Source organism: Homo sapiens, chromosome 14 (genome assembly GCF_000001405.40).
Source record: "Homo sapiens chromosome 14, GRCh38.p14 Primary Assembly".
NCBI classification, from domain to species: domain Eukaryota; kingdom Metazoa; phylum Chordata; class Mammalia; order Primates; family Hominidae; genus Homo; species Homo sapiens.
In genome coordinates, this window is record NC_000014.9 from 102,436,626 (window position 1) to 102,463,354 (window position 26,729).

Below are 26,729 nucleotides of genomic sequence, written 5' to 3' on the forward strand. Positions count from 1 at the left end.
GGCCTTTTATTCAGTCATCCGGCATTTATCTTTTCAACCCAGTGGTTCTTGAGTGGCCTTGACTGTCAGCCTCTGTGATTATGCTGGGGACCACAGTGCAGATGGCAGCTAGTTGTGGATTCCATCTTCCTGAGCCTCAGAGTCTTGAGGGGGAGCCAGGTACATGTTCACATCCTCGCAGTTGAGTGGGACTCAGGTGAGGGTACTGAGCAAAGTACAGGGCTGCAGGAAGCGCAAGCAGCATGGCCCCCTAATGTCTGGGCGTTAGCCAGGCAGACTGTCGGTGGGGTGGGGTATTGGAATTCTAGGCCAGAAATTTAGGAAAGCCCTCACTTAGGTGACAGGGATCCTGGCCCTTTGAGCCCCTGACTCTCTAACTTCCTCCCTTCCTCATCCCACTCCAGGTAGCTGGGAAGCCAAGAAATTTTATGGTGTGTTTTTATTTGGAGGTTCGGTGTGGAAGTAAGACTTGCCATGGTGAGCAGGGCTGGATTGAGAAGAGTTGGGCACCATTTTCTTTGAAGTAGTTAACTTCTATGTGGGTATCTGTACAAATACATTTATCTTCTTTGCATTTATTGAAAAGTATTAAAGTACAAAGACTTTATTTAGCTTTGATTTTTAAAAGAATTCTAGCAAGGTCGGGCACAGTGGCTCACGCCTGTAATCCCAGCACTTTGGGAGGCCAAGGTGGGCGAATCACCTGAGGTCAGGAGTTCGAGACCAGCCTGGCCAACATGGCGAAACCCCGTCTCTACTAAAAATACAAAAAATAGCCGGGTGTGGTGGCAGATGCCTGTAATCCCAAGTACTCAGGAGCCTGAGGCAGGAGAATTGCGACTTGCTTGAACCCAGGAGGCGGAGGTTGCAGTGAGCCGAGATTGTGCCCCTGTACTCCAGCCTGGGCGACAGAGCGAGTCTCTGTCTCAAAAAGGAAAAAAAAAAGAAAATATGGTGGAAAAAAGAAAGACAGTGGTAGTGCCATATATCCAGTGCCTCTGTAATGATTAGACTACAAAAAATTGACTTGCATCCAAATGTTGAAGAACCTGGCTCTTTGTGTAAGGTGAGGTATGCCTGCAGAATAATAGCAGCTCCTTCGTAACGTGATGTGATGCTCTAAGCGTTACATTTGCAAAGGTGTTAGAACAGGAGAAAATGTCATCCAGGGACTCCAGGGAGTCTTTGTAGGGAGACAGCAGCACGCGTCTCAGAAGGTTTGTAGTAGAGGGGTGTCCACAGATAGCAGGGGTTGGGAGAAGGGTTGACTTGGCGTCTTGCTGACCCGTTTTACCGTCTCGTGTTAATGATATCCTCTCACCTTTCTTACTGAGAACAGTAAGCCAAATGTGGCTGTGTCCTCTGCCACAGAACTCACTGGCTCTTCCCTTGTTAGTTTGCAGAAAGCTGGATGGGCTACTCGGGTCCCGGCTATGGCATCCTCAGCTTGGTGGTCTCCGAGAAGTATATCTGGTGCCTGGACTACAAAGGCGGCCTGTTCTGCAGCGCGTTGCCGGGCGCCGGGCTGCGCTGGCAGAAGTTTGAAGATGCTGTCCAGCAGGTGGCAGTCTCGCCCTCAGGTTCGCCTCCCCGCTCCCTGCTCCCGCTCCCTGCTCCCGCTCGCCGCTCCTGCTCCCCGCCCCCGGGGTGCAGACATCTTAGTACAGGGCTCCCCTGCAGCAGCTCTGGGCTCACGCTGCCGTGCGTTCACCAGGTTTGCCTCTTCAGGAACGTTTGAGGGGTTGTCTCCAAAGAACGTGAATTGCTTCATTGGATGTCAATTCGTAGTGTAAATGGGTGTTCAGTTTGAGTTTTTGTTTTCTTTATTAATTGCAATGGTAAGCTCTGATCGTATTTTTGTAAGCTAGACAAAAAGTTTGAAAATTGAGGGACTTTTTTAGGGATATTAATATACTAACTCTTCATAAAAATAATACGTGTTTCTCTTTCTCATTGTTGCTTTAAAGCAACCGAACTAACGAAGACGGGCCTATGGATATGTTAGATATATTCCAATTATTTGGCTTCCTCTTTAGGAATTCTGTTTTAATGAGCTCTCTGCTGTGGGTGAACAGTCTACTCCCTGACTCTAAAAGGAAAGTCCATTCATTCTTTCATGCTGCTGTTAGGCCATTGTTAGTGAACTGGAGCTGGTGTTTCCTGAACGATGTTCTCCTGAGCTGGAAGACCTCCCATATCTGCATGGAATCATTTGCTTGCTTTTTCTTTCTTTCTTTCTTTTTTTTTTTTTTTTGAGACAGAGTCTTGCTGTGTTGCCCAGGCTGGAGTGCAGTGGTACAATCTCAGCTCACTGCGAGCTCCACCTCCCAGGTTCGCACTATTCTCCTGCCTCAGCCTCCCCAGTAGCTGGGACTACAGGCACCCGCCACCACGCCCAGCTAATTTTTTTGTATTTTTTTAGTGGACACGGGGTTTCACTGTGGTAGCCAGGATGGTCTTGATCTCCTGACCTCATGATCCGCCCGCCTCAGCCTCCCAAAATGCTGGGATTACAGGTGAGAGCCACTACGCCCGGCTTTGCTTGTTTTTTCTTAAGGTTGTGTTGGCCACGTCGGCACCTACGCCAGTGGGGACACTTTTGCCTTGAAGCAGCCTGGTTTACTGTCAGGACATTGGAATAGAAGTCAGACGAAGCCGAAGCTGAGTCTGTGGCTTGGGACCTGTCTGTTCTCTGTAACTTCACTGTGTTTCGGGATGAATTTCCCTTAATTCTCCCTGGTCTCTGTCACTGTTTAAAATATTAGTTTGTTCAGCGTTGTTTTTCTTGCTTGCTTTCACTGTTTGTTTGAAAAATATTTTTCTTTAGAGACTGGCTAACAACCCACTCCACAAGCTGTCATTACACAGTTGTGTGTTTTAATTCATTTCTCGTTGGTATCATTTACCTTCAGGTTTGTCTCCTTAGCCTTTTAGAACTTTGGTTCTATTCCTGACTATATTAGTTACTTGTATTCCCAGGCCCCTTGGTCCCTCACTGTGCTAGCGGGAACTCTGTATCTCCATGAGATTCACCTGCTCAGTTGAGGCGTCCTTCAGGGCCCAGTCCCATGTCCTTGGTGGGCAGCAGAGCCCTTGTGCCGGGGGCACCACAGGCAGAGATGCTCGACAGGCCCTCTAGTCCAGCCCAGCTGACACTCGGTGATCACTGGTGGCCCCTTGCCTTGCCTGCGTCGGCCTGCTCCAGGCCTCCAGCTGCAGCGCTATCCTGCCTTCCCTTTCCTCTCTCCTCCTCCATCTCTTCATCAAAGTCCTCTTCACAGTGAAAACAGGCCAACTCAGTGCAAGTGTGTTCCTTCTGTGCACCTTTTCCATTCAGCTCATCCAGAACTGATCCTTCTCTTTGAATCCCTAAAGGACTTTTTCAGCCTCTCCTAGGGCACTAGTTGTGCTTAGGATGTTTATTTGGAGACTTATCAAACCTAATAATGTCATCAGTGTTTCTCCTCCCGTGTGAGGAGCGCCTGTCATGTGCCCAGCTCTGTGGCCATGTGGTTGATCTGCTTCCGTCTGCAGTCTTTAGAGCAGCCCTGTAAGGTGGAGATGATCCCCACGGCCCAGGAGGAAAGTGAAGCTTGGAGACGGGCGGTGACATGGAGCCTGAAGCTGCATAGCCACTGGGTGGTGGCCAAGGGCCCAAACCTGGGTCTGGTGGCCTCTTTCCCCACTTGGGGGGACAGAACAGGATGTGTTTTAGAAATCTTTCTCCCCTCAATGCCCAGCATGAAGACTTTTGTATAGAAATATATTCTAGTATTTATTGGACAGTGAATAGAATTTTTATTTCCATAGGAGCCCTTCTCTGGAAGATTGAACAGAAATCTAACCGGGCTTTTGCTTGTGGGAAAGTCACCATCAAGGGGAAGCGGCACTGGTACGAAGCCCTGCCCCAGGCAGTGTTTGTGGCCCTGAGCGATGACACGGCCTGGATCATCAGGACCAGTGGGGACCTATACTTGCAGACAGGTAACCGCGGGCCACGCTTAGAGGCCTGCCAGCTCTGCCGTCACTGCCTCTGCTGCACCCTGCTTTGCTAGTAACATGCTTACCACAATCGCTATGATTAAGAGGCTAAATCCATTCGAATTAAGACACTTCTGGGAAGAGAGTATTTGCCATTTGGCATGTATTAGCAGTTTCCTGCATTGACACAAACTCAACCCAGGACAAATTTAGGGCAAAAATGAATAGGATTATTTGGTGAGATACAGAAACAGAATCTTATTCTCCTATGGCCAACCACCGCATATCACGTATCCTACAATGTTAGATCTTAAGAGGTAAGAATACAGAGGAAGGACATAAAATTCATTTCCCCCTTTAAGCTAAAGTTTAAGTGGCTGCATTTTTTTTTTCAGCCATATCAAAGCCCGGCTCCTATATACTTACTTACCCGTGGGCCAGGAAAAAAAAAGAAATAATTTGCTCTTTTTTATTTTGAGACGGAGTCTCGCTCTCTTGCCCAGGCTGGCATGCAGTGGTGCCATCTTGACTCACTGCAACCTCTGCCTCCTGGGTTCAAGTGATCCTCCTGCCTCAGCTTCCTGATCACAGGCTGGGATTACAGGTGCCCATCACCACGCCCAGCCAATTTTTTTGTATTTTTAGTAGAGATGGAGTTTCACTATGTCGGCCAGGCTGGTCTTGAACTTCTGACCTCAAGTGATCTGCCCGCCTCAGCCTCCCAAAGTGCTGGGATTACAGGTGTGAGCCACCACACCAGGCCATAATTTGCTCTAAATAGCAGTTCAGGCCAGGTGTGGTGGCTCATGCCTGTAATCCCAACACTTTGGGAGGCCTAGACGAGCAGATCACCTGAGGTCAGGAGTTCAAGACCAACCTGGCCAACATGGTGAAACTCTGTCTCTACTAAAAAAAAAAAAAAAAATACAAAAAATTAGCTGGGCGTGGTGGCGCTTGCCTGTAATCCCAGCTACTTGGGAGCCTGAGGCACAAGAATCACTTGAACCTGGGAGGCAGAGCTTGCAGTGAGCTGAGATCGCGCCACTGCACTCTCCAGCCTGGTGACAGGGCGAGACTCCGTCTCAAAACAAAACAAAACAAAAATAGCAGTTCAGCAAGTCACAGGAAGCTGCCCTCAGGGAAGTTTTTAGCTGATGGAAGGGCACAGTGGGACTTGCTTATTAAAAATAAGCTGTAATGACAGTCAGTGTTTACTGTCAGCAGAATGGGGAAGGATCTTCCACCAGCAATGTGATTTATCAGTATCTGGAAGGACTGTGGGGCAGGAGTTATCGTCAGTTGTCCAGAGGCCACGTTGGATTTATGTAAAGATCAGTCTTCCAGGCGTTTAATGTTGTTGATTCCAGGAGAATGTTGTTGTTGTTGTTTTGAGACGGAATCTCGCTCTGTTGCCCAGGCTGGAGTGTAGTGGCACAATCTCGGCTCACTGCAACCTCCACTTCCTGGGTTCAAGCGATTCTCCTACCTCAGCCTCCCGAGTAGCTGGGACTACAGGCACATGCCACCATGTCCAGCTCACTTTTGTATTTTTAGTAGAGGCAGGGTTTCACTATGTTGGCCAGTCTGGTCTTGAACTCCTGACCTTGTGATCCGCCCGCCTCAGCCTCCCAAAATGCTGGCATTATAGGCGTGAGCCACCGGCCTCAGGAGCATGTTTTAATCACTGCTGTGAGTCGTCAGCTGGGGATGAGTCTTCAGGTTGAAGCTCTTGCACAGCTGGCTCTCTCCTAGCTGTGTAAGAACCTCTGGCCTGGGTGCACAGCCATGCTGGCTTCATAGGCCATATGCTGGCCCAGGTCTCTCCAGCCTAGTTCCTGTGTCTTTCTTTAAATGAAAGTAGCTCTGTCAAGGCACATGCACATCTAAGCTGCCAGGACATTTGAGCTTTGGTCATGGGGAAGACAGGAGGTGCTTCTGGCCTGGGGGTGAGGAGCGAGTGACCTCTAAACCAGTAGTGCCAGAGGAATCACCAGGACAGTGATTTCACATGAGGTGGCCCCACCCAGACCTGTTGGATTAGGTCCAATCCCTCTGGAGACTGCTCAGGAGTGTGTCGTGTAAGAAGTCCTGCCGGTGATTCCCACCTAGTTTAGTGGAAGGAAATATCACCCAAGGACTGCAATACTATAGGTGCGTCTGTGATTAGTCACGGAGCATATTTGAGTACTGAGACCTAATTGCAGGCCTAAGGTCAAGGAATACAGGGTTGTAGGCGACAGTTGGTCTGTCTGCTCCCCTGGGAATAGCCTTTGAGCTCATTTAGACATACTTTATTGACAGAACACAAGGAGGCAAGGGGAGAGCCCTGGACAGGGAGCCAGGGACCCTGAGCTTTGGCCTGCCACTGCCTTGCAGTTTGACAGACCTCAGATTTCATCTGGGAAATTCGGGGTTTCATTTTATTAGTGGAACCTCGCACCCAGTCAGAGCAGAGAGGAGCCGCCGTGCTGGAGCTCTCTGCAGGAACGACTGCAGGCCTCAGGTCCCTGCCAACTCCAGCAGCGCTGCAGCCCTCTGCCTGGAAGAGCTGCTCTGCCCTGCAGCCTTTGGGCCTCCATCTGGCCACTCTCCTGCTCTTGGCTTTTGTGTTCTTCTCTTAGAACTTCTTAAGCTACATTGGGACACCAGATAATTCTGAATTGTTCAGTTTTCAAAGAGTGTCTAAAACTGTTTTCAGATAGATGTTACATTTAGGCAGAATTTAACCACTTTATGTTGATTAAACTTGACAACAAAAAAGCGGCCGGACAGGGCAGCTCCTGCCTGTAATCCCAGCACTTTGGGAGGCTGAGGTGGGAGGATCTCTTGAGCCCAGGAGTTTGAGATCAGCCTGGGCAACGTAGAAAGGCCCCGTCTATATTTTTAATTAATTAATTAATTAAAGTTTTTTTTTAAAGCACTCATCATAAAAGAATATAGCAAAATACCAAAAAAGGAAAAATAAGCCAATAACCAAGTCAAAATGAGGTGTGGAGTTCTGACTGTGTGTCTTTGGGGCTTCTTCCCATCTTCCTGGCAGGTCTGAGCGTGGATCGCCCTTGTGCCAGAGCCGTAAAGGTGGACTGTCCCTACCCGCTGTCCCAGATCACAGCCCGGAACAATGTGGTGTGGGCGCTGACAGAGCAGAGGGCCCTCCTGTACCGGGAGGGCGTGAGCAGCTTCTGTCCGGAAGGCGAGCAGTGGAAGTGTGACATTGTCAGGTACTGGCGGGCCAGAGACTCCTTTCACATCGTGCTTGTCCTACCCTTCGTTCTTGTCCACTTGACACCACAAGGCACCATGAGGCCGTTCCTGGGAGGCAGCACCTGCAGCCTCCATGGCTATAGGCTAAGCTTGAATCTCTGCCTAATTCTGACCGGCAAACTGGACGTTGAGTCAGAGCTCGCTTTTTAAAAATGCTGCCGCCCTCTGCGCAGCCCTGAGCATCACAGCGTCATGAGTCTGTCATGACGGTCTCTATTCAGAATTGCCCACCGTCAGGTAGTTCTGGTTTAGTGTCTGTGACGGCTTAGGTCCAAATATTTTTCTTTATTTTCATGCTAATCGAAGTTGATCTCTGAACTGTAGCTTTTTTTTTTTTTTTTGATACAGGTTCTCACTCTGTCACCCAGGCTGGGGTGCAGTGCCACGATCACGGCTCACTGCAGCCTTGACCTCCGGGCTCAGGTGATCCTCCTGCCTCAGCCTCCTGAGTAGCTGGGACTACAGATGCATGCCACCATGCCCAGCTAATTTTTGTATTTTTTGTAGAGATGAGTTTTGGGTTTTCATCATGTTGCCCAGACTCATCTCGAACTCTTGGGCTCAAGCAATTCTCCTGCCTTGGCCTCCCAAAGTGCTGGGATTACAGACATGAGCCACTATGCCTGGCCCGATCTCTGAACTGTAATTTATTAAGCTATTTTTTTTTTTACCATTCAAGATGTTAGTTATAGAATTGCCATCAGATCATTTTACTAGTATGGAAGTATTAATAGTCCTTTGAAAAACTAGATTAGGATATTCTTGGTTTGAATTTAGCAAGCCAATAAACTTTCAGTGAATACCTATTAAGAGCCAGAATGGTCCAGGTGTGGTGGCTCACGCCTGTAATCCCAACACTTTGGAAGGCCAAGGCAGGCGGATCACGAGGTCAAGAGTTCGAGACCAGACTGACCAACATAGTGAAATCCCGTCTCTATTAAAAATACAAAAATTAACCGGGCATCTCAGGAGGCTGAGGCAGGAGAATCACTTGAACCTGGGAGGCGGAAGTTGCAGAGAGCTGAGATCGCACCATTGCACTCCAGCCTGGGTGACAGAGCAAGACTCCATCTCAAAAAACAGACAGACAAAAAAAAGCAACAACAACAAAAAGCCAGAATGGTGCTAGGGGCTGGGTGCGCCAAGAGGGCTGAGACTGGCCCTGCTCTCATCAGTTCCAAGTCTCATGGGGGCCCCGTGCATGGATGGACACCCATTAGCACAGATGGCCCTAAACAGGAGTGTGGAGCATGCAGCACTGAGGGAACCATGGACTCCATGCAGAGATCAGGAAGGCAGCATGCAGAGTGGACCAACAGCTAAGCCTTGAAGCTGACGAGGACTTCCCCATATGGAAGGAGGGGGAGGGCGTCTCCAGCAAAGAGGGCAGTGTCTGCCTAGGTCCAGCTGCACAGAATAGCCTGGCACATCGGGGGAGTTTACAGTCATTCCCTTGGTGAGGGAGGGAGTAGAGAGATGGAGGCGCTCAGGGGCCTTGGATTGGCGGGGGAAGGAGTAGAGAGATGGAGGCACTCAGGGGCCTTGGATTGGCGGGGGAAGGAGTAGAGAGATGGAGGCACTCAGGGGCCTTGGATTGGTAGGGGAAGGAGTAGAGAGATGGAGGCGCTCAGGGGCCTTGGATTCCTTTTGTGCCTACTCGCTTTTTTCTTAGGTTATTTTCTCTCTTAAGAGTGTTCCCAGCCATTCTGGGTCATCAGTGTGTCTTTCAAAAGCTGCCACCCACTTGAACCATATCTCTTGCACAGTAATTTAACTCAGACCCAAACTTCCTTCCCTGGCACCTGCTGATCCGCTCCAGGGCCACGTCTCTTCTCCCAGCCACGCCTGCCGGGAGACCCTGGATGTCCGCAGTCCAGACACACTGGGCACTCTGCCTATGGGTGCTGACCCCCCTGTTCTCCTCCTTATTTTCAGCGAAAGGCAAGCTTTAGAACCCGTCTGCATAACGCTCGGGGATCAGCAGACTCTCTGGGCCCTGGACATCCATGGGAACCTGTGGTTCAGAACTGGCATTATTTCCAAGAAGCCCCAAGGAGATGACGACCATTGGTGGCAAGTAGGTGTTCAGCTCTGCGCCACGTGCCGAGGTCTCCCGACCTTTTCTGCTTCCCCTTTTCTTACTTCTCTCTTTTCCTTAACGATACTAGATTAAATTTAAAATACTCACTTTTTTATTATTTGTTTGTTTGTTTTGAAACAAGATCTCCTTCCGTCATCCAGGCGGAAGGGCAGTGGTGCAGTCACGGCTCACTGCAGTCTTGACTTCCTGGGCTCAGGTGATTCTCCCACCTCAGCCTCCCAGGTAGCTGGGACTACAGGCGTGTGCCACCATGCCTGGCTAGTTTTTTGTATTTGTTTGTAGAGACAGGGTTTTGGCATGTTGTGCAGGCTGGTCTCAAACTCCTGAGCTCAAGAGATCCACCCAGACTGGGCAGAGTGGCTCACACCTGTAATCCCAGCAATTTGAGAGGCCAAGGCAGGCAGATCACTCGAGTCCAGGAGTTCAAAGCCAGCCTGGGCAACATGGTGAAACCCTGTCTCTACCAAAAATACAAAAATTAGTTGGACATGGTGGCACACGCCGTTGGTCCCAACTACTCGGAAGGCTGAGGTGGGAGAATAGTTTGAGCCCAGGAGACAAAGGTTTCAGCCAAGATCACACCACCACACTCCAACCTGGGCAACAGAGCTAGACCCTGTCTCAAAATAAATAAAAATAAAAAAGAGAGAGAGAGAGAAATCCACCCTCTCCGCCTCCCAAAGTGCTGGGATTACAAGTGGAGCCACCACTCCCAGCCAATAGTATTCCTTTTTTCTATTTGATGGATTAGACTTTGCTGTGTTTGAGTGCATTAGAAACATAAAGGACTTTTCATCATAGGAAATAATTTGCAAACTCTTTGTGTAAATAATGCACTTAATTTATTTATTTTGATATTGTTTATATATTTATTATTATAGGCTAAATAAACCCAGTGACATCCATTTGAAGACCTAGGTAATAATGATGTTTAATTATGAACAAATGTGCTGAGAAAAGAGCCCAGATAATAGGTTTGAAAGCCCAACCCAGAATTAAAATTGAGCTGTCTCTGCTTATTCAGAAGGCCTCTAAGTAGATGGTATTTCAGCAAAGACAGGAGAATTTTCCCACGTGCTTCCAGAAAAGGAAACACTATAAGAAACAGGATGAGGGTATAATCAAGCTCACTGTGTGTGATTTGGTCCCAGCAAGAGCGCCTAGAATGAATTTCTCTTTTCTTTTTCTTTTCTTTTTTTCTGGGGCAGAGTCTCACTCTTTTGCCCACACTGGAGTGTGGTGGCAGGATCACGACCCACCTCAGCCTCCCAAGTAGCTGGGACCACAGGCACATGCCACCATGCCTGGCTAATTATTTTGGTAGAGACAAGGTCTTGCTGTTACCCAGGCTGGTCTCGAACTCCTTGGCTCAAGCAATCCTCCCACCTTGACCTCCCAAAGCGCTGGGATTACAGGTGTGAACCACCACCCTCGGCCCTAGAATGGATTTTCAAAGGAGTGTCTACTTTCCCCTTCTTTGGTATAGTTTAGTGTTAGTGTTGCTCCCACAGTCTCCCACTGTGGTAGGTAAGATTTCACTGATAGTCGATGGTCGTGAAATATTTGATGTTTCTTTTTTTTGAGACGGAGTCTTGCTCTGTCACCCAGTCTGGAGTACAATGGCGCAATCTCGGCTCACTGCAACCTCCGCCTCCTGGGTTCAAGCGATTCTCCTGCCTCAGCCTCCTGGGTAGCTGGGACTACAGGCACGCACCACCAGGCCCAGCTAATTTGTGTATTTTTGGTAGAGACAGGGTTTCACCATGTTGGCCAGGTTGGTCTCAATGTCTTGACCTTGTGATCTGCCTGCCTCAGCCTCCCAAAGTGCTGGGATTATAGGCGTGAACCACCGCGCCCGGCCAGTATTTGATGTTTCTGAAGTATCTTGCCCCATTGGTTTATGTTTTATTGTCACCTCAGACTTGCTTTGTTGAAGGCTTGTCTTGCATTGACTGCTCTGAGGTCTTTCAGATGAGAATGTAGAAAAATGAGTTGTGTTTACTCTTTGATAAAATATGTATTCTATATAATATGTACATTATATACAGATGTATCTAATTTATATACTAGGTAATATTTGATAGTCATGCAAATGATTTTAAAATACCTTTTGTGTACTTGTAACCATATATATACATATACATGTAAAAATATACATATATGTATTTTTGTAGAGACAGGGTTTCACCATGTTGGCAGGCTGGTCTGGAACTCCTGACCTCAAGTAATCCACCTGCCTTGGCCTCCCAAAGTGCTGGGATTACAGGCGTGAGCCACTGTGCCCGACCAGGAGTAGGGCATTTATGCCAGTGATGTTTTATGTAATCAAACCCAGCAGGGCAGAAATGTGAGTGAACATCATGGAGAATCAGATTTTCACTCATAAAGAATTTGCCTTATATCAAGCTGCCCAAGAAGAGAAGAGCTTCCTGCAGGGAGGGGTGGTTGGAGAAATGTCTGAGGTATATGAATGCTTTTCAGGAATGTTATAGAAGCAAGCTACCCTTCTGAGCTAGGGTTAGAGTCTAGATACCCAGGATGGTCCTAGTTGATGCTCTTGCCCTGGAGTAATTATTAGTAGTCCCAATTCAGATCATAAATTAGTTCATCACAGCCTTGCATGGTGGCTCACACCTGTAATCCCAGCACTTTGGGAGGCCTGGGCGGGCGGATCACCTGAGGTCAGGAGTTCAAGACCAGCCTGGCCAACATGGTGAAACCCCATCTTTACTAAAAATATAAAAAATTAGCCGGCTGTTGTGGCGTGCGCCTGTAGTCCCAGCTACTCGGGAGGCTGAGGCACGAGAATCTCTTGAACCCAGGAGGCAGAGGTTGCGGTGAGCCAAAATTGCACCACTGCACTCCAGCCTGGGTGGCAGGGCAAGACTATGTCTCAAAAAAAAAAAAGTTCATCACTCTACTTGTGATACCTTTTTAGATGCATATTATGTTTCTAAGTACCGTATACTGTTGTCCATTGGAAATACCTGATTTAAAAGCAAAATTAAAGCTGGGCATAGTGGTTCATGCCAGTAATCCCAACACTTTGGGAGGCCAAGGCAGGGAGATCACTTGAGCCCAGAAGTTCAAGACCAGCCCTGGGCAACACAGGGAGACCTGTCTCTACAAAAAATTTAAAAATTGGCTACATGTAGTAGCATTCGCCTGTATTTGGGAGGCTGAGGTGGGAGGATTGCTTGATCCTGGAAGTCAAGGCTGAGTATGATTGTGCCACTGCATTCCAGCCTGGATGCCAGAGCAAGACTGTCTCAGAAAAGATGGCAAAATTATTCTTTCTCACTCTGATTAGAATGAAAGTCTTCTTAGAAGGGGTGTGAGGGGGTGATAATCACAAAAGTAATACATGCTTGTAACAGATCCATGTTGTATAAAAGTATATAAAATGTGAATATATTCTTCCATACCTTTAAATCCAACCCTACGAAGGAGCTGGAGTTAGCATTAGCAGTTTGATGGCATCCTGCCACATTTTTTTGGTCCTTTCACAAGCGCACACGTGCACATTTGTGTTTGGATGGTCATCTTGTTACTAGAAATGCAGAGGTGTGGACCTGAGCTAGAACCTTCCCTCAAGGCAGAGAGTCTACACTTGTAACTGCTCTGACAGCAGGGCTTTTGCTTGTCTCCTCCTTCCAGGTGAGCATCACGGACTATGTGGTGTTTGACCAGTGCAGCTTATTTCAGACGATAATCCATGCCACTCACTCGGTGGCCACAGCAGCCCAAGCCCCCGTAGAAAAGGTGGCAGATAAGCTGCGCATGGCGTTTTGGTCCCAGCAGCTTCAGTGCCAGCCAAGCCTTCTCGGGGTCAATAACAGCGGTGTCTGGATCTCCTCGGGCAAGAATGAATTCCACGTCGCTAAGGGAAGTCTCATAGGTGGGTGAATTGCTGTAATTTTCACACTGGCTTTATAGGCAGCCTCACTTTAAAGCCAACATTTAAAGAAAAGCTTTAAGATCTCAACTTGAAAAGATAATTTAGTGCCAGTGGTATGAAGTGTCTAGTGGAGGCACTCTATGCTTTGTGATCAGTTTCTCTCCTTTTTAAAAAATCTGTCATTCCTAAAACTCGTATCCCTGTGTCTGGATAGTGTTTCCCCTGGAAACCTTTTATGACATAAGAAAAGCAAATGGAGGTCATTTTTATGTTAACAATTTCACATTTTAAATGAAAAAATCCACCCAAACCTAGTGAGAGAGAATGGTCCACTTCCTGGAGGGAAGGTGATCGCCACTGTTGGAAATGCAAGGCTCTGGCCAGGTCTGTGAATGTAGATGCCAGTCTACACATCCTGGGGTTTGTTTCTGTGAGTGAACCCCTTGCTTTTCTCCAGCCCTCTCCCTGCTGCATGGCCTCCACGACCCTGGACTGGGTGTGGCTCTGCCTGGCAGTATTCAGAGGGAGATGAATGTTAGGCTGTGATTGCTCATGTCGCTTTATTTAGGGACACTCTAGAATTATCTGGAGAAAGGGTTTGAAGGCCAGCTGTCGTCCAGAACTAAGATCTGAAGTGGTTTTGTCTATGCTTTCTTTCTTTAACACATTCTTCCTATTTACTCTTTCCAGGCACCTACTGGAATCATGTGGTTCCCCGTGGGACAGCTTCTGCTACAAAATGGGCCTTTGTGTTGGCTTCTGCAGCTCCCACGAAGGAAGGTGGGTCAGTCTTAGCCTCACTGAAGAATCTAGAGCACAGCTTGGCCATTGGAAAGGTTCAAACCACAGTCGGACTGTGGCCTTGTTGGTTATGGGGCATGCCTCGGAGACTGACCACGTGAGGGTGTCAGAGGCCAGTAGCCCTTGTTAGCTGAGCCGAGGGCCCTGAATCGGGATAGGCCTGACCAGGAGAGCCTCTGAGAGGGACCGAGCGTGGTGAAGATGAGGGAAAGTGTCCTTCTGAAGGAGGGGCTCACACAGTGCAGCCACCGGGGCTGGCAGCTGGTGACTTCCAGTGGCACATGGCAGGGGCCACAGCTTCTTTGGGCACCTTCCCATCTCCCCTCGAGAATCCTTCTGTCACCTCCCAGCAACTTCCTTCCGTCTTGTTCACAGCCTCCGGATAACCTAAGTCCGACATTTGCACCGCATTAGGCAGACCTGCCCTGCAGCGGGGTGCTCCTGCCAACCACATTCTGGGCAGAACTCAGTGTCCCTGCGGAGTACAGGGTTTGTGAGGGAGCCAGGGCACCAGAGGGTGAGGGAGCTGGCATCTGCGGCCGGGAGGGGCACTTCCCCCACCCGCTTAGCTGGGAGCCCCGGCAGTCAGGCGACCTCTCTGGGAAGTAGCTGTACCTCCTCCCAGGATTGCCTGAGGATGAAATGCAAAGATGCTGTGAAATCTGTGGTGAAGAGGGAATCGTTTGCTTAGTTCAAACCATTAGTCCCACTAGGATGCAGGTGACTGGGTCAGTACAATAACTTCTTACTCACCAGATTGTTCGGACCACAGTTCTGGAACCCAGAAATCTCTGAAAACAATGTTATTTCTTGAGTCTGGCATAAATTAATTTGGCAGCAAAACCTGACCGGATCTCACATAGCTGCCTCCAGCCTTGGTTGATCTGTTGGCTGTGACCGCATCCATGTTGCAGGGATGTTACCGCACTTCACCGGGGAGCGCCTGGCCCCTCCGTGGTTGTTTTGTAAACCTCTGGCATACCCATTAGCTTAGGTTTTCAAAAATCCAGAAAAAGTTTGAATTCCAAAACGTGGCCACAAGTTGTAGATAATACTTCATATAACGTACTGTGACCAAGATTTTAACTGCCCTAAGGATTATTTGCATTTTAAACAGAATCTGTTAAACCTAAAGGACTTTTTTAAAATGCTGTAGGGAATGAAAGGACATGATTTTGAGGCAAGGGTGGGAAGAGAAGCACTTCCAGCTTCCTAAGCCTTCTCCAGCAGCTGCCCCACCCCCCGGCCCCATCCCCAGAAGGTCCGGGAGAGCACCATGGCGCCATCCTTCCTAGGAACTGCCAACCCTCCCTCCCTCCAGGGCACCGAGTTGATAGTCTTCTCCTCTTGGTAAAATTAACTTTCTACATTAAAAATGCTTTGGTGCCTTTGTTCAAGTGAAAAACTTCTCAGCCCATGAAAAATGGGAGGTCAAAGCCACTAAGCCAACATTATGGCCTTCATAAAATCTCCTAAGCCTTGCCTTCTTTCCATTTCTTTCCAACATCTCAGGCGTGTTTCTTGTTAGTCACGGTGTTTCCCTCTGCCTTCTACCTTAAAGTGCTACACCGCTCCTGCCCGTGTGGGAATGGGCAGGTGAGTGAGCTGGCATCTGTGGCCAGGTGGCTAGCGTCTGCTGAAAGGCAAAGGCTGCCTTGTGCATTTAGGGCAGGCGGCTTGGTGCAGACAACACCTCGATGACAAACATGACCCCTTTCTGCAGGAAGCTTCCTGTGGCTGTGCCAGAGCAGCAAGGACCTGTGCAGCGTCAGCGCCCAGAGCGCACAGTCGCGGCCCTCCACGGTGCAGCTGCCTCCCGAAGCCGAGATGCGCGCCTATGCCGCCTGCCAGGATGCGCTGTGGGCGCTGGACAGCCTCGGCCAGGTGTTCATCAGGACGCTCTCCAAGAGCTGCCCCACGGGCATGCACTGGACCAGGCTGGACCTCTCCCAGCTAGGTACGGCCACCTCGTGAGTACACCTGCCGGTGCCCTGACTGCCCTAAACCGGCATCACAACGTGATGTCGGACAAAACTGCCCGGCCTGTGTCCAACCTGTGAGAGTTCTGAGGGGGTGTTTATAAGCTGCTGAATTTCAGGAGCTCAGTTGGCCACTCTTTCAGACTAGACAGGCTCTGGGTTTTGTCCCTTCCCCTGCCCCTTAGAGTTTGCAGGGCTGTCAGAACCCGAGGAGGGTGTGCGTCCTCAGGTCAAGGGGCCACTCGCTGCGAGCGGCTTGAAGGATACTGGTGATGCAGCTGCCCCGTCAGTCTTTCTGAATATGGAACATAGCTTTATGACCTGAAAAGCTGAAAAGATGGGTGTTCCCTATGACAGGATCAGTGCCACGTTTGTCTATCTCCTCAGGACAGTACCTGGCGGAGGAGAGTGGCTCAGCACACAGGTGCTAGCTCTCCTTCAGCTCAGCCAGATATAGGAGGACCTGCATCCACTAGCTCCTGCTTTTCTCTGAATCTTCTATCAAAAGCCGTGGAGTAGGCTAAGAAATGTAGTGCTATTTGTAGGCCGGGCGCAGTGGCTCACACTTGTCATCCCAGCACTTTAGGAGGCTGAGGTGGGTGGATCACCTGAGATCAAGAGTTCGAGACCAGCCTGGCCAACATGGTGACACCCTGTCTCTACTAAAAATACAAAAAAAAATTAGGTGGGCGTGGCAGTGCACGCCTGTAGTCTCAGCTACTCAGGAGGCTGAGGCAGGAGAATTGCTTGAACCCGGGAGGCGGGGGTTGCAGTGAGCCGAGATCATGCCATTGCACTCCAGCCCAGGCAACAGAGCGAGATTCTGTTTCAAAAAAAAAAAAAGAAGAAGAAAGAAAGAAATGTAGTGCTGCTATTTGTAAATAATTCATTCATGTTCCAAGAAATAATAACATAAGCCCACAACATTAGATTTCTCTCTGAGTAGATTCTTGGTGGATCAGGCAGCATAGGTGTGGTTTGCCTGAAGGTGGAGTTGTGCAGATGGCCCCCAGGGCCCGGATGAGCCCTGCACTTGCAGCAGGACTGACTTAGGAACTTCCTGGCTGCAAGGCTTCCCAGTTTTTTTAACTTAGAACCAGCATTTGGTTATGTGGTAGACTTGAATTGTATAAGCATTTAATGTTTGAAAACTCAATCACATGTACTCACCAAAAAAAAAAAAAAAAAAAGGATGGGGAGAAAGAAAGCAAGAAGAGGGCTGGGCACAGTGGCTAATGCCTATAATCCCAGCACTTTGGGAGGCCAAGGAGGGCGGATCACCTGAGGTCAGGAGTTCAAGACCAACCTGGCCAACATGGTGAAACCCCGTCTTTACTAAAAATACAAAAATTACCTGGGTGTGGTGGCACATGCCTGTAATCCCAGCTACTTGGTTGGGAGGCTGAGGCACGAGAATCACTTGAACTTGGTAGGCAGAGGTTGCAGTGAGCTGAGATCCATGCCATTGCACTCCAGCCTGGGTGACAGAGCAAGACTCTGTCTCAAAAGAAAAAAAAAAAAAAGAAAGCAGGAAGAGAAGGGCTTGTTCCCCTTCTCCCCAAGCCCCTGGCTGCATTGCAGTCTGTATGCTACCAGCTGATGAGAGCCTCTTGCCATTCCGTAAAGCAAGCATCGTCCTAGGCTGCCTGGCAGTGGTTGGTGTGCTCAGCCCCGGGGGCTCCTACAGGGTGCTGAGTAGACATCACCCATTCTTTTGCCTGAAAAGGCCCCTGAACACTAACTCAGCTGAAGAAGCAAGTTCTGTTCCAAGGCTTGGGGACTGAAGGTTTGTCCAGGGCAACTTTTGTTCTTTATGCTTTGGGCCTCCCCACCTGCCTTTTGGACCCACCAGTCACCATCTAGCTTTTTGAGAACACCCGCCTCTCCACATCACTGACAGTGACTGATAGACAAGGCTGAGGCTGAGAGTGGCCTGAACATTGGTGCTGACTGACCTGCCGCCTGCCCTGGAAAGCCTTTCATTTGTTCAGAGACCCTACTGGTCCTGAGCCATTCTCCAGCAGCTCCTACCCAGACTAACTGGAAAATGCCGCTAGTTCCCTCTGAGGGTAAAAAGTCCAGGGCTTGGTGTGTATTCTCCCTGCTCCTGAATCTTGAGCACTGTGGGAGGCTGTGTTCACCTGCACCATTTGGGTGAGAAGCAGAACTGCTTCCCTTGCACGTCCCCTTCCCAGCCCCTCCAGGAAGGCTGCTGCACCGTGGTGGGATTCAGAGTGAATGGGCATCATGCCAGGTTCTGCACTGCTGGAGCCAGCCCTGCCTGGGCCTCCTGCCTCCAGCACAGCTCATGCCTCCCTCCTGGCTCGATCCAGTCCTCCCAGCACCGGCTAGCTGGCCAAAGTGGTGCAGGTCTCTAAGGTGTGTATTTGGGCTTCACTGGGAGGTTTCTCTCGGGGAGAAACCTGGCTTGAGTGGGATTGAGTCTCAAGAGTGTGAGGGAAACAGGAACAAGTCCATCCTGAGTCCAAGATGGCCTTGGGCCATCTGGTGTTCAGCAGATACTCATTGAGGGGTTGGGTGTGTGAACAGAGGGATGGCCTGGGGATCCTGGTCGCTGTGGATGGGCAGGTTTTCACTGACCTCCTGTGTTCCGCCTGCAAAATCATTAGCAAATCAATGTCAGTATCCGGCTGACCCCGAAATGAATCAGACAGCAGTGGGTGCAAGGAGGTCACAGGCAGAGGTGTGGGGACTCATGGCAGAGGCAGGACAGAGCTGGGCCCCAGGCGGGCTCTGGACTCTGGGCAAGCTGCTGTCACCTTGAACCGCAATTTCCTCTCCTTTCTTTTTTTTCCAGGTGGGGTCTCACTCTGTCATCCAGGCTAGAGTGCAGTGGCACGATCTTGGCTCACTGCAACCTCTGCCTTCCCAGGCTTAAGCAATCCTCGCACCTCAGCCTCCCAAGTAGCTGGGACCACAGACATGTGCCACCATGCCCACCTAATTTTTTTGTTTTTTGAGACGGAGTTTCGCTCTGTCGCCCAGGCTGGAGTGCAGTGGCACGATCTCGGCTCACTGCAGCCTCTGCCTCCCAGGTTCAAGCAATTCTCCCTGTCTCAACCTCCCGAGTAGCTGAGATTACAGGCACCCACCACCACACCTGGCTAATTTTTTGTATTTTTAGTAGAGACAGGGTTTCACCATGTTGGCCAGTCTGGTCCTGAACTCCTGACCTCAGGTGGTCCGCCTGCCTCCGCCTCCCAAAGTGCTGGGATTACAGGCGTGAGCCACCACGTACAGTCCCTGCTAACTTTTGTATTTTGGGTAGAGATGGGGTTTTATCATGTTGGCCAGGCTAGTCTTGAACTCCTGACCTCAAATGATCCACCTGCCTTGTCCTCCCAACGTGCTGGGATTACAAGTGTGAGCCACCATGCCCGGCCTTGGTTTCCTCTCCTTTCTAATGGGAGCAGCAACCCCCAAGCCCAACCCCCTGGAGGATGCACGGGGCATCCCGTCTAAATGTTGGCCATCTCCGGGCGGTGTGGTCATCCTAAGGCTGTGACACGTCTTGCTTGGGGGTGCTCTCTAGTCTTTGTTAGCTGCTGGTGGTGGGGCTTTTGCTTGTGTTGCCCCAGTTTGTGCCACAGGGAGGACAAATCCAGCATCTCTTGTTAAAGCACCACCTCGCTTAGTCCTTATCCTGCCCTGAACTTTAGATTTTGTTTATTTGAGTTATCTGGTTGATCTTGAAATGTCAGATTAAGACTCCTTTCCTGTTTCCTACACATCCTGAGAGAATGCAGCAAGTCCAGGGTTGGCAGCTTTGTGTTGGGGCAAGGGAGGTGAACAGGCAACCGGGACTCCCAGGCTGTTCCTCTGCACACGCACCTATCCCCTCAACGAGTATCTGCTGAACACTGGAGGGCTCGAGGCCATCTTGGACTCAGGGTGGACTTGTTCCTGTTTCCCTCTCGCTCTTTTTTTTTTTTTTTTTGAGACAGAGTCTCGCTCTGTTGCCCAGGCTGGAGTGCAGTGGCGCAATCTCGGCTCCCTGCAAGCTCTGCCTCCTGGGTTCACGTCATTCTCCTGCCTCAGCCTCCCGAGTAGCTGGGACTACAGGCTCCCAACACCACGCCTGGCTAATTTTTTGTATTTTTAGTAGAGATGGGGTTTCACCGTGTTAGCCAGGATGGTCTTGATCTCCTGACCTCGTGATCTGCTCGCCTCAGCCTCCCAAAGTGCTGGGATTACAGGTGTGAGCTACCGCACCCAGCCTCCCTGTCACTCTTAAGTTGAGACTCAATCTCACTGAAGCTGAGTTTCTCCCCTAGAAAGAACAGCCACCTCCCCAGCCTTCACTATGCCAGGGTAGGGGCAGTGAGCATCAGGCCAGGGGCACCAGGTGTTCAGTTATTAGGCTCTCTCCAGGTATGGTCTGTGTCCTGCAGGAAAAGCAGGTAGGTCAAGAGACTTCTCTTTTTGTTTGTTTGAGACAGAGTCTTACTCTGTTGCCTAGGCTGGAGTGCAGTGACACAATCTTGGCTGACTGCGACCTCCGCCTCCTGGGTTCAAGTGATTCTCCTGCCTCAGCCTCCCGAGTAGCTGGGATGACAGGCATCCACAGCCATGCCCGGCTAATGTTTGTGTTTTTAGTAGAGACGGGGTTTCACCATGTTGGCCAAGCTGGTCTCGAGCTCCTGACCTCAACTGATGCACCCGTCTTGGCCTCCCAAAGTGCTGGGATTACAGGTGTGAGCCACTGCGCCTGACCCAAGAGACCTTTTAATAATTACTTATTTAAGTGAAAATTTTGAATGCAGGTGTGCTGTCTGCCCAGGAGCCCGTGTATGACTGTGCATGGCGGCTGTCATCAGGTGGCATGCATTGAATGGGGATTATTGACTGTAAAGGAGAGTCATCAAGCTGACATGGCTGCTGCCTGTGTTACTTATCTGGAATTAATTGGGGTGCTTCATTTATTTTTTACAAGTCAGCAGTGGGCCGGGTGCAGTGGCTTACACCTGTAATCCTAGCACTTTGGGAGGACTGCTTGAGGCCAGGAATTTAAAACCAACCTGGCCAACATAGCAAGACCCCATCTCTAAAAATATTTGTTAAAGTCAACAGTAGGGGGTGCACACAGCAATGAATGGAAACACAGTGACTGCATTTGAGGATGTTGTTCAATATCAAATTTAGCCTCCCCCAATTGTGCTCTTCTTCCTAACTTCGCTCCTCTGCTCCCACTAAATTCCCTTTTTTTTTTTTTTTTTTTTTGAGATAGTGTCTCACCATGTTGCCCAGGCTGGAGTGCAATGGTCTGATTTTTGACTCACTGCAACCTCCGTCTCCTAGGTTCAAGCGATTCTCCTGCCTCAGTCTCCCAAGTAGCTGGGATTACAGGCCTGTGCCACCCCGCCCAGCTAATTTTTGTATGTTTAGTAGAGACGGTGTTTCACTGTGTTGGCCAGGCTGGTCTCTAACTCCTGACCTCAGGTGATCCACCCGCCTCAGCCTCCCAAAGTGCTGGGATTATAGGTGTGAGCCACTGAGCCCTGCTGCTCCCAGTAAATTCTGCTGGAAAGACCAGAGTGCTCTTTTGGCCAGTCGCTCAGCAGTGTCCTGGCCATCTACCCGAGGATCTCCCTGCTTCTGGACCTCTGCTTCCCTCCCACCACTGTCAGGGTGGAGCCCCCTCGTCACCAAGTTGCTGTACTGCAGTAGCTGCCTCCTGGCACCAGGTGTGCCCACCTCCCACCACGGCTACCAGAGCTGTCTTCCTCAAACCCAGCTCAGATGGTGTTGCCCTCCACGTTACATGGCTCCACGCTGCCACTAGAATACAGCTCCAGTCTTTGGTGTGGCACCCAGGGTCTCGCAGCCAGACCCGGCCTGCTGTTCCGAGGCCTCGTGCGTTGGGGACTCCAGCCACTCCTGGCCTTTGTGTTGGGGCCCTGGCTAACTTTCATATTTTGGGTAGAGATGGGGTTTCACCATGTTGGCCAGGCTGGTCTTGAACTCCTGCCCTTCCCTAATGTGTGGTGCATGTTCATGCCACCCATTTGCTTCTCTTCCTGGGGCCTAGCATTCCTTCCGTGGGCTGCTTTCCTTCAACTCTTCTTCCTTCAGGACTCAGTTGAGATCGCACCTCCCCACCAGACATTCTTCATTGACTGTCCCCATCATAGCACTGTGCTTCTACCTGTCATTTCAGAGCCAAGCACGGTGGCGCACACCTGTTGTCCTAGCTACTTGGGAGGCTGAGGCAGGAGGATTGCTTGAGCCTGGGAAGCTGAGCCTAATCTAGGCAACAGAGCAAGCTCCTGTTTCTTAAAAAAAAAAAAAATACACACATATATATATATATATATATATATGTAATTTTAGTTTGACTCACATTATTTTTGTTGAAAGTTTACACACGGAGTGTGTAGGGACTTTACAGGCAGAGACCAATTGCTTGGTGACAGTACGTACCCAACAGGATTTTTGTTTTAATTTGGGATGGGGTCTCACTATGTTGCCTAGGCTGGTCTCAAACTCCTGGGCTCCAGTGATGCTCCCACATCAGCCTCCCAAAGTGCGGGGATTACAACTGCATGCAGCTGCACCAGCAGGATTTAAAATGTCAGGGAAAGTCAGTACTGTTTGCAGCTCCATTTCTGAGTAACTCTGGGATGTGAGTTTTGATCCTATATTTGGCCATGTTACTGGTAGTCAAAGATAAAACTGCCTTCCATGCAAGTACAGGATGTCATCACACACAGTAGCCTGGTGGATGATGTGACTCCCACCCTCCCAGGAAAATTCTCATCTCTTGCTCTAAGTTGCCATCAGCCTTCCCAGGGCATGAGGCAGAAGATGTTAGGTTATAAAAACTTGTCGGCCAGGCATGGTGGCTCACACCTGTAATCCCAGCACTTTGAGAGGCCAAGGTGCGTAGATCACGAGATCAAGACTATCCTGGCCAACATGGTGAAACCCCGTCTCTACTAAAAATACAAAAATTAGCTGGGCATGGTGGCTTGCCTGTAGTCCCAGTTACTCTGGAGGCTGAGGCAAGGGAATCGCTTGAACCCGGGAGGTGGAGGTTACAAAGATCATGCCATTGTACTCCAGCCTGGGAACAGAGCGAGACTCCGTCTCAAAAAAGCAAACCAAAAAATCTTGTTAGAGATACATTTACATGTGTTCTCCCTTCAGCCCTGGTGTTTTCTTTACAAGTGTCTTCCTGGTTGTATGAGTAGCAAGCAGCCTTGGACAGCATGACCTCTGCTCCCTCGGGGACAGTGTTGACCTTGGGCAGCACTAACTCATTGTTAGGTCAGGACCATCATCAGTCTTCTCTAAAAGGCAAGCAGAAATTTTAATTTCAGACTGGGTGTGGTGGCTCACGCTTGTAATCCTAGCACTTTGGGAGGTTGAGGCAGGAGGATCACTTAAGGCCAGGAGTTTGAGACCAGCCTGACCAACATAGCAAAACCCTGTCTCTACTTAAAATACAAAAATTAGCTGGGTGTGGTGGTGGGCGCTGTAGTCTCAGCTACTCAGGAGGCTGAGGCACAAGAATCGCTTGAACCCGAGAGGCAGAGGCTCCAGTGAGCCAAGATTATGCCACTGCTGAGCCAAGATGGTGCCACTGCACTCCAGCCTGGGCGACAGAATGAGACTCTGTCTCAAAAAATACTACTAATAATAATCAATTAATTAAAAAACAAGGCCAGGTACAGTGGCTCATGCCTGTAATCTCAGCACGTTGGGAGGCCAAGGCAGGCAGATCACCTAAGGTCGGGAGTTTGAGACTAGCCTGGCCAACATGGTGAAGCCCCGTCTCTACTAACAATACAAAAATTAGCCAGGTGTGGTGGCACATGTCTGTAATCCCAGCTACTTGGGAGCCTGAGGCACAAGAATCCCTTGAACCTGGGAGGCAGAGGTTGTAGTGAGCCGAGATCACGCCACTACACTCCAGCCTGGGTGACAGAGCAAGACTCTGTCTCAAAAAAAAAAAATTAAATTTTAATTTCAAGGATGAGGATGACTTTAGCGAAGTATCAAATAATGAACATGATTTCTACCTTTAATTTTTTTTTTTTTTTGAGACGGAGTCTCGCTCTGTCGCCCAGGCTGGAGTGCAGTGGCACGATCTCCGCTCACTGCAAGCTCCACCTCCCAGCTTCACGCCATCCTCCTGCCTCAGCCTCCTGAGTAGCTGGGACTACAGGCACCCACTGCCATGCCCAGCTAATTTTTTTGTATTTTTAGTAGAGATGGGGCTTCACCGTGTTAGCCAGGATGGTCTCGATCTCCTGATCTTGTGATCCACCCGCCTCAGCCTCCCAAAGTGCTGGGATTACAGGTGTGAGCCACTGCGCCCAGCCTCAATTTTTTTTTTTTAAATACAGCTTCCCTCTTCTTTCTACCCCTATACAAATTACCAGAGCAATTACTGCTATAGGATTAAATTAAAGGAATTCTTAAATTAAATGGTTGGCTGCTGAACCAAGTTGTAGCAGTTGAATATGGAATTTTGTAGTGATTTATTATAATCCTAGTTTTTGGAAGAAAATTTGCATCACTTAGCAGATATTTAAGATGCTTGTAACATTTCATTTCCCAGTACACATAAATATGCATTATGTCAGGCATTGGAATGTTTAGCAAACTAATGAAATTTGTAATTTAATTTATCAGGTCACAGCATTTAATGAAGAACTATTCAGTGTCAGTTTATGCCGTTAGGTAACAAACAGGATTGTGTTACGCAGTAATTTATACAGAAAAGTATTTTATAAATAAAATGTCAAATAAATGCCACTTTTTGTTTTAAAATGATATGTTTAAGAAATAATCCTAAAGGGAAAATGTCTGCTTTGTCGAATAAAGTAATTAAAGCATTTTTTTAAAACAAGAGAAAAAAATAAGGACAAAGCAGGGACAGACAGGAAAATGTCAGTGTGTTTGCATCAGCCAGGCTGGGCTGTGCTTCGGTAGCAAGCCCCAGATATCAGCGACTTCACACAGTGAACCGTGGCCCCCGCTCCACGAAGCTGGCCCTGCATCTGTCCTCTTCTAGGGCAGTGGTCCTCCAGGTGGTGGCTTCCTGATCCTGCCTGCTTTGCTCTGCGGCTCCACCATCTCGGTTCCTTCTGCTCAGAGCCTGTTGCCAGTACTGGTCGTGGGTCCTGCCTAACTCTAAGGGAATGTGAGGGAGCCATGGAGTGCTTGGGGAGGGCTGTGGTCTCTGCCACCGCGTTCACCACATCCTGACCACTTCTTCCATGGAACAGGTTCACAAACCTCATTCATCCAGGCGGCCTGGGTGACACTCTGGGGTAAAAGTCTGCAGGAAAGCCCTCAGTTCAACTTTGTCATCTTTCACCTGTCTCTTCAATTCGGAATAAGCTGGTTTATGCACTGGAAGTACATCATCTAGTAGTCTTTTATATGTGTTCTGAAAGGTTGTTCACTGTGTAATGTGAACTCCGTGTTCTGTGAGCAGTGTTGTTGCTGCCAACTCTGAGATGCTGGCCTGGTGTGTTTTTGTCACCATGTGACTCTGTTAGCATGATCACTGCTGCCTGTAGTTTCTCTTAGAGGCAGGTTGAAGACTCTAATGTAAAATTGTCTTTTAATTAGCATTTGTTTCTCAGCTATTTCTAGAGTTACTGTTGAAGGTACTTTATTTTGACTGGTACAGATCTTTGCATATGTAATGTTAGAGTTCCAGGGAATTCTGTTTAAACTCCCCGGTAAAACATTCTGTACAAGATCAAGGAAGGAGAAAATACAGTTAATTTTTGGAATAGAGAAATTGTCATCTTTAGAAAATGCAAAGAGGAATAATGATAATTTTTTGTGTAGCAGTGAATGAATAGCTTTAAGTTGATGTCATAACTGAAGACACATGAGATTTTCACATGGCAGAGTCATGCCTCTGTGTTTTGCTACACTCCGTGGGCTGTCATCTGATACCAGTGACAACTGTGCAAGGGTGGTACCTCCCGATTCTGCACCCAGTGTGGGGCGTCCTCCACCTGCCCCTCTCCAGCAGCACCACCAGCTAATGGAGCTGCACACCTTTTATTCCCCGGTTGAAAGTCAAAATAACCCATCAAAATTAAAAACTTCTCATCCAAAAACACTATTAAGAAAATGAAAAAGCAAACCACAGACTAGATTTACAATGCACGTATCTGACAAAAGACTAGTACCTACAATGTGCAGAGAACTCCTCTAACTCAGCAGTCAGGAGAAAGTTCATTTTAAAATGAGCAAGACTTGAACAGGCACTTCACAAAAGAAGATATACAGATGTCCATAAGCATATTAAAAGATTCCCAGCATCATTCCTTAGCAGGAAATACAAATTAAAGCCACGACATGATACAACTTCACCTCTCCTAGAATGGCTGCCGTGGAAAAGGTTCAGGGGTGCGGGCAGCCAGAACCCGCAGACACGGCTGTGGGTGTGGAGCACAGGATCTCCATTGGGGAAACTGGCGGTTTCTTTAAAAATGAAACAGGCCGGGCGCAGTGGCTCACACCTGTAATCCCAGCACTTTGGGAGGCCGAGACGGATCACCTGAGGTCAGGAGTTCAAGACCAGCTTGGCCAACATGGCAAAACCCTGTCTCTACTAAAAATACAAAAATTAGCTGGACGTGGTGGCAGGTGCCTGTAATCCCAGCTACTTGGGAGGCTGAGGCAGGAGAATGGCGTGAACCCGGGAGGCGGAGCT

General features: G+C 49.1%; 1 protein-coding gene across 2 annotated transcripts in view, besides 2 other annotated features; it reads left to right on the top strand.

The window, feature by feature from the left end:
• Positions 1-26,729, top strand: part of TECPR2 (tectonin beta-propeller repeat containing 2) — a 139,537-nt gene that overhangs the window by 73,685 nt on the left and 39,123 nt on the right. For both annotated transcript variants that reach the window (NM_014844.5, NM_001172631.3), the window contains exons 10-16: positions 1,397-1,580; positions 3,811-3,984; positions 7,022-7,202; positions 9,181-9,322; positions 13,004-13,244; positions 13,935-14,024; positions 15,769-16,002. In NM_014844.5, the coding sequence (NP_055659.2) occupies positions 1,397-1,580; positions 3,811-3,984; positions 7,022-7,202; positions 9,181-9,322; positions 13,004-13,244; positions 13,935-14,024; positions 15,769-16,002 (1,246 nt within the window). The remainder of the gene's footprint in view (positions 1-1,396; positions 1,581-3,810; positions 3,985-7,021; positions 7,203-9,180; positions 9,323-13,003; positions 13,245-13,934; positions 14,025-15,768; positions 16,003-26,729) is intronic.
• Positions 1,484-1,533: a silencer, noted in NCBI's record as "silent region_6116". NCBI's record gives its function as "represses an Ori minimal core promoter by ATAC-STARR-seq in GM12878 lymphoblastoid cells {active_cell/tissue: GM12878}" and the evidence as "EXISTENCE:reporter gene assay evidence [ECO:0000049][PMID:35858748]".
• Positions 3,203-3,710: an enhancer, noted in NCBI's record as "H3K27ac-H3K4me1 hESC enhancer chr14:102906165-102906672 (GRCh37/hg19 assembly coordinates)". NCBI's record gives its function as "activates a minimal SCP1, AML or CMV promoter by ChIP-STARR-seq in naive H9 embryonic stem cells {active_cell/tissue: H9 hESC(naive)}" and the evidence as "EXISTENCE:reporter gene assay evidence [ECO:0000049][PMID:30033119]".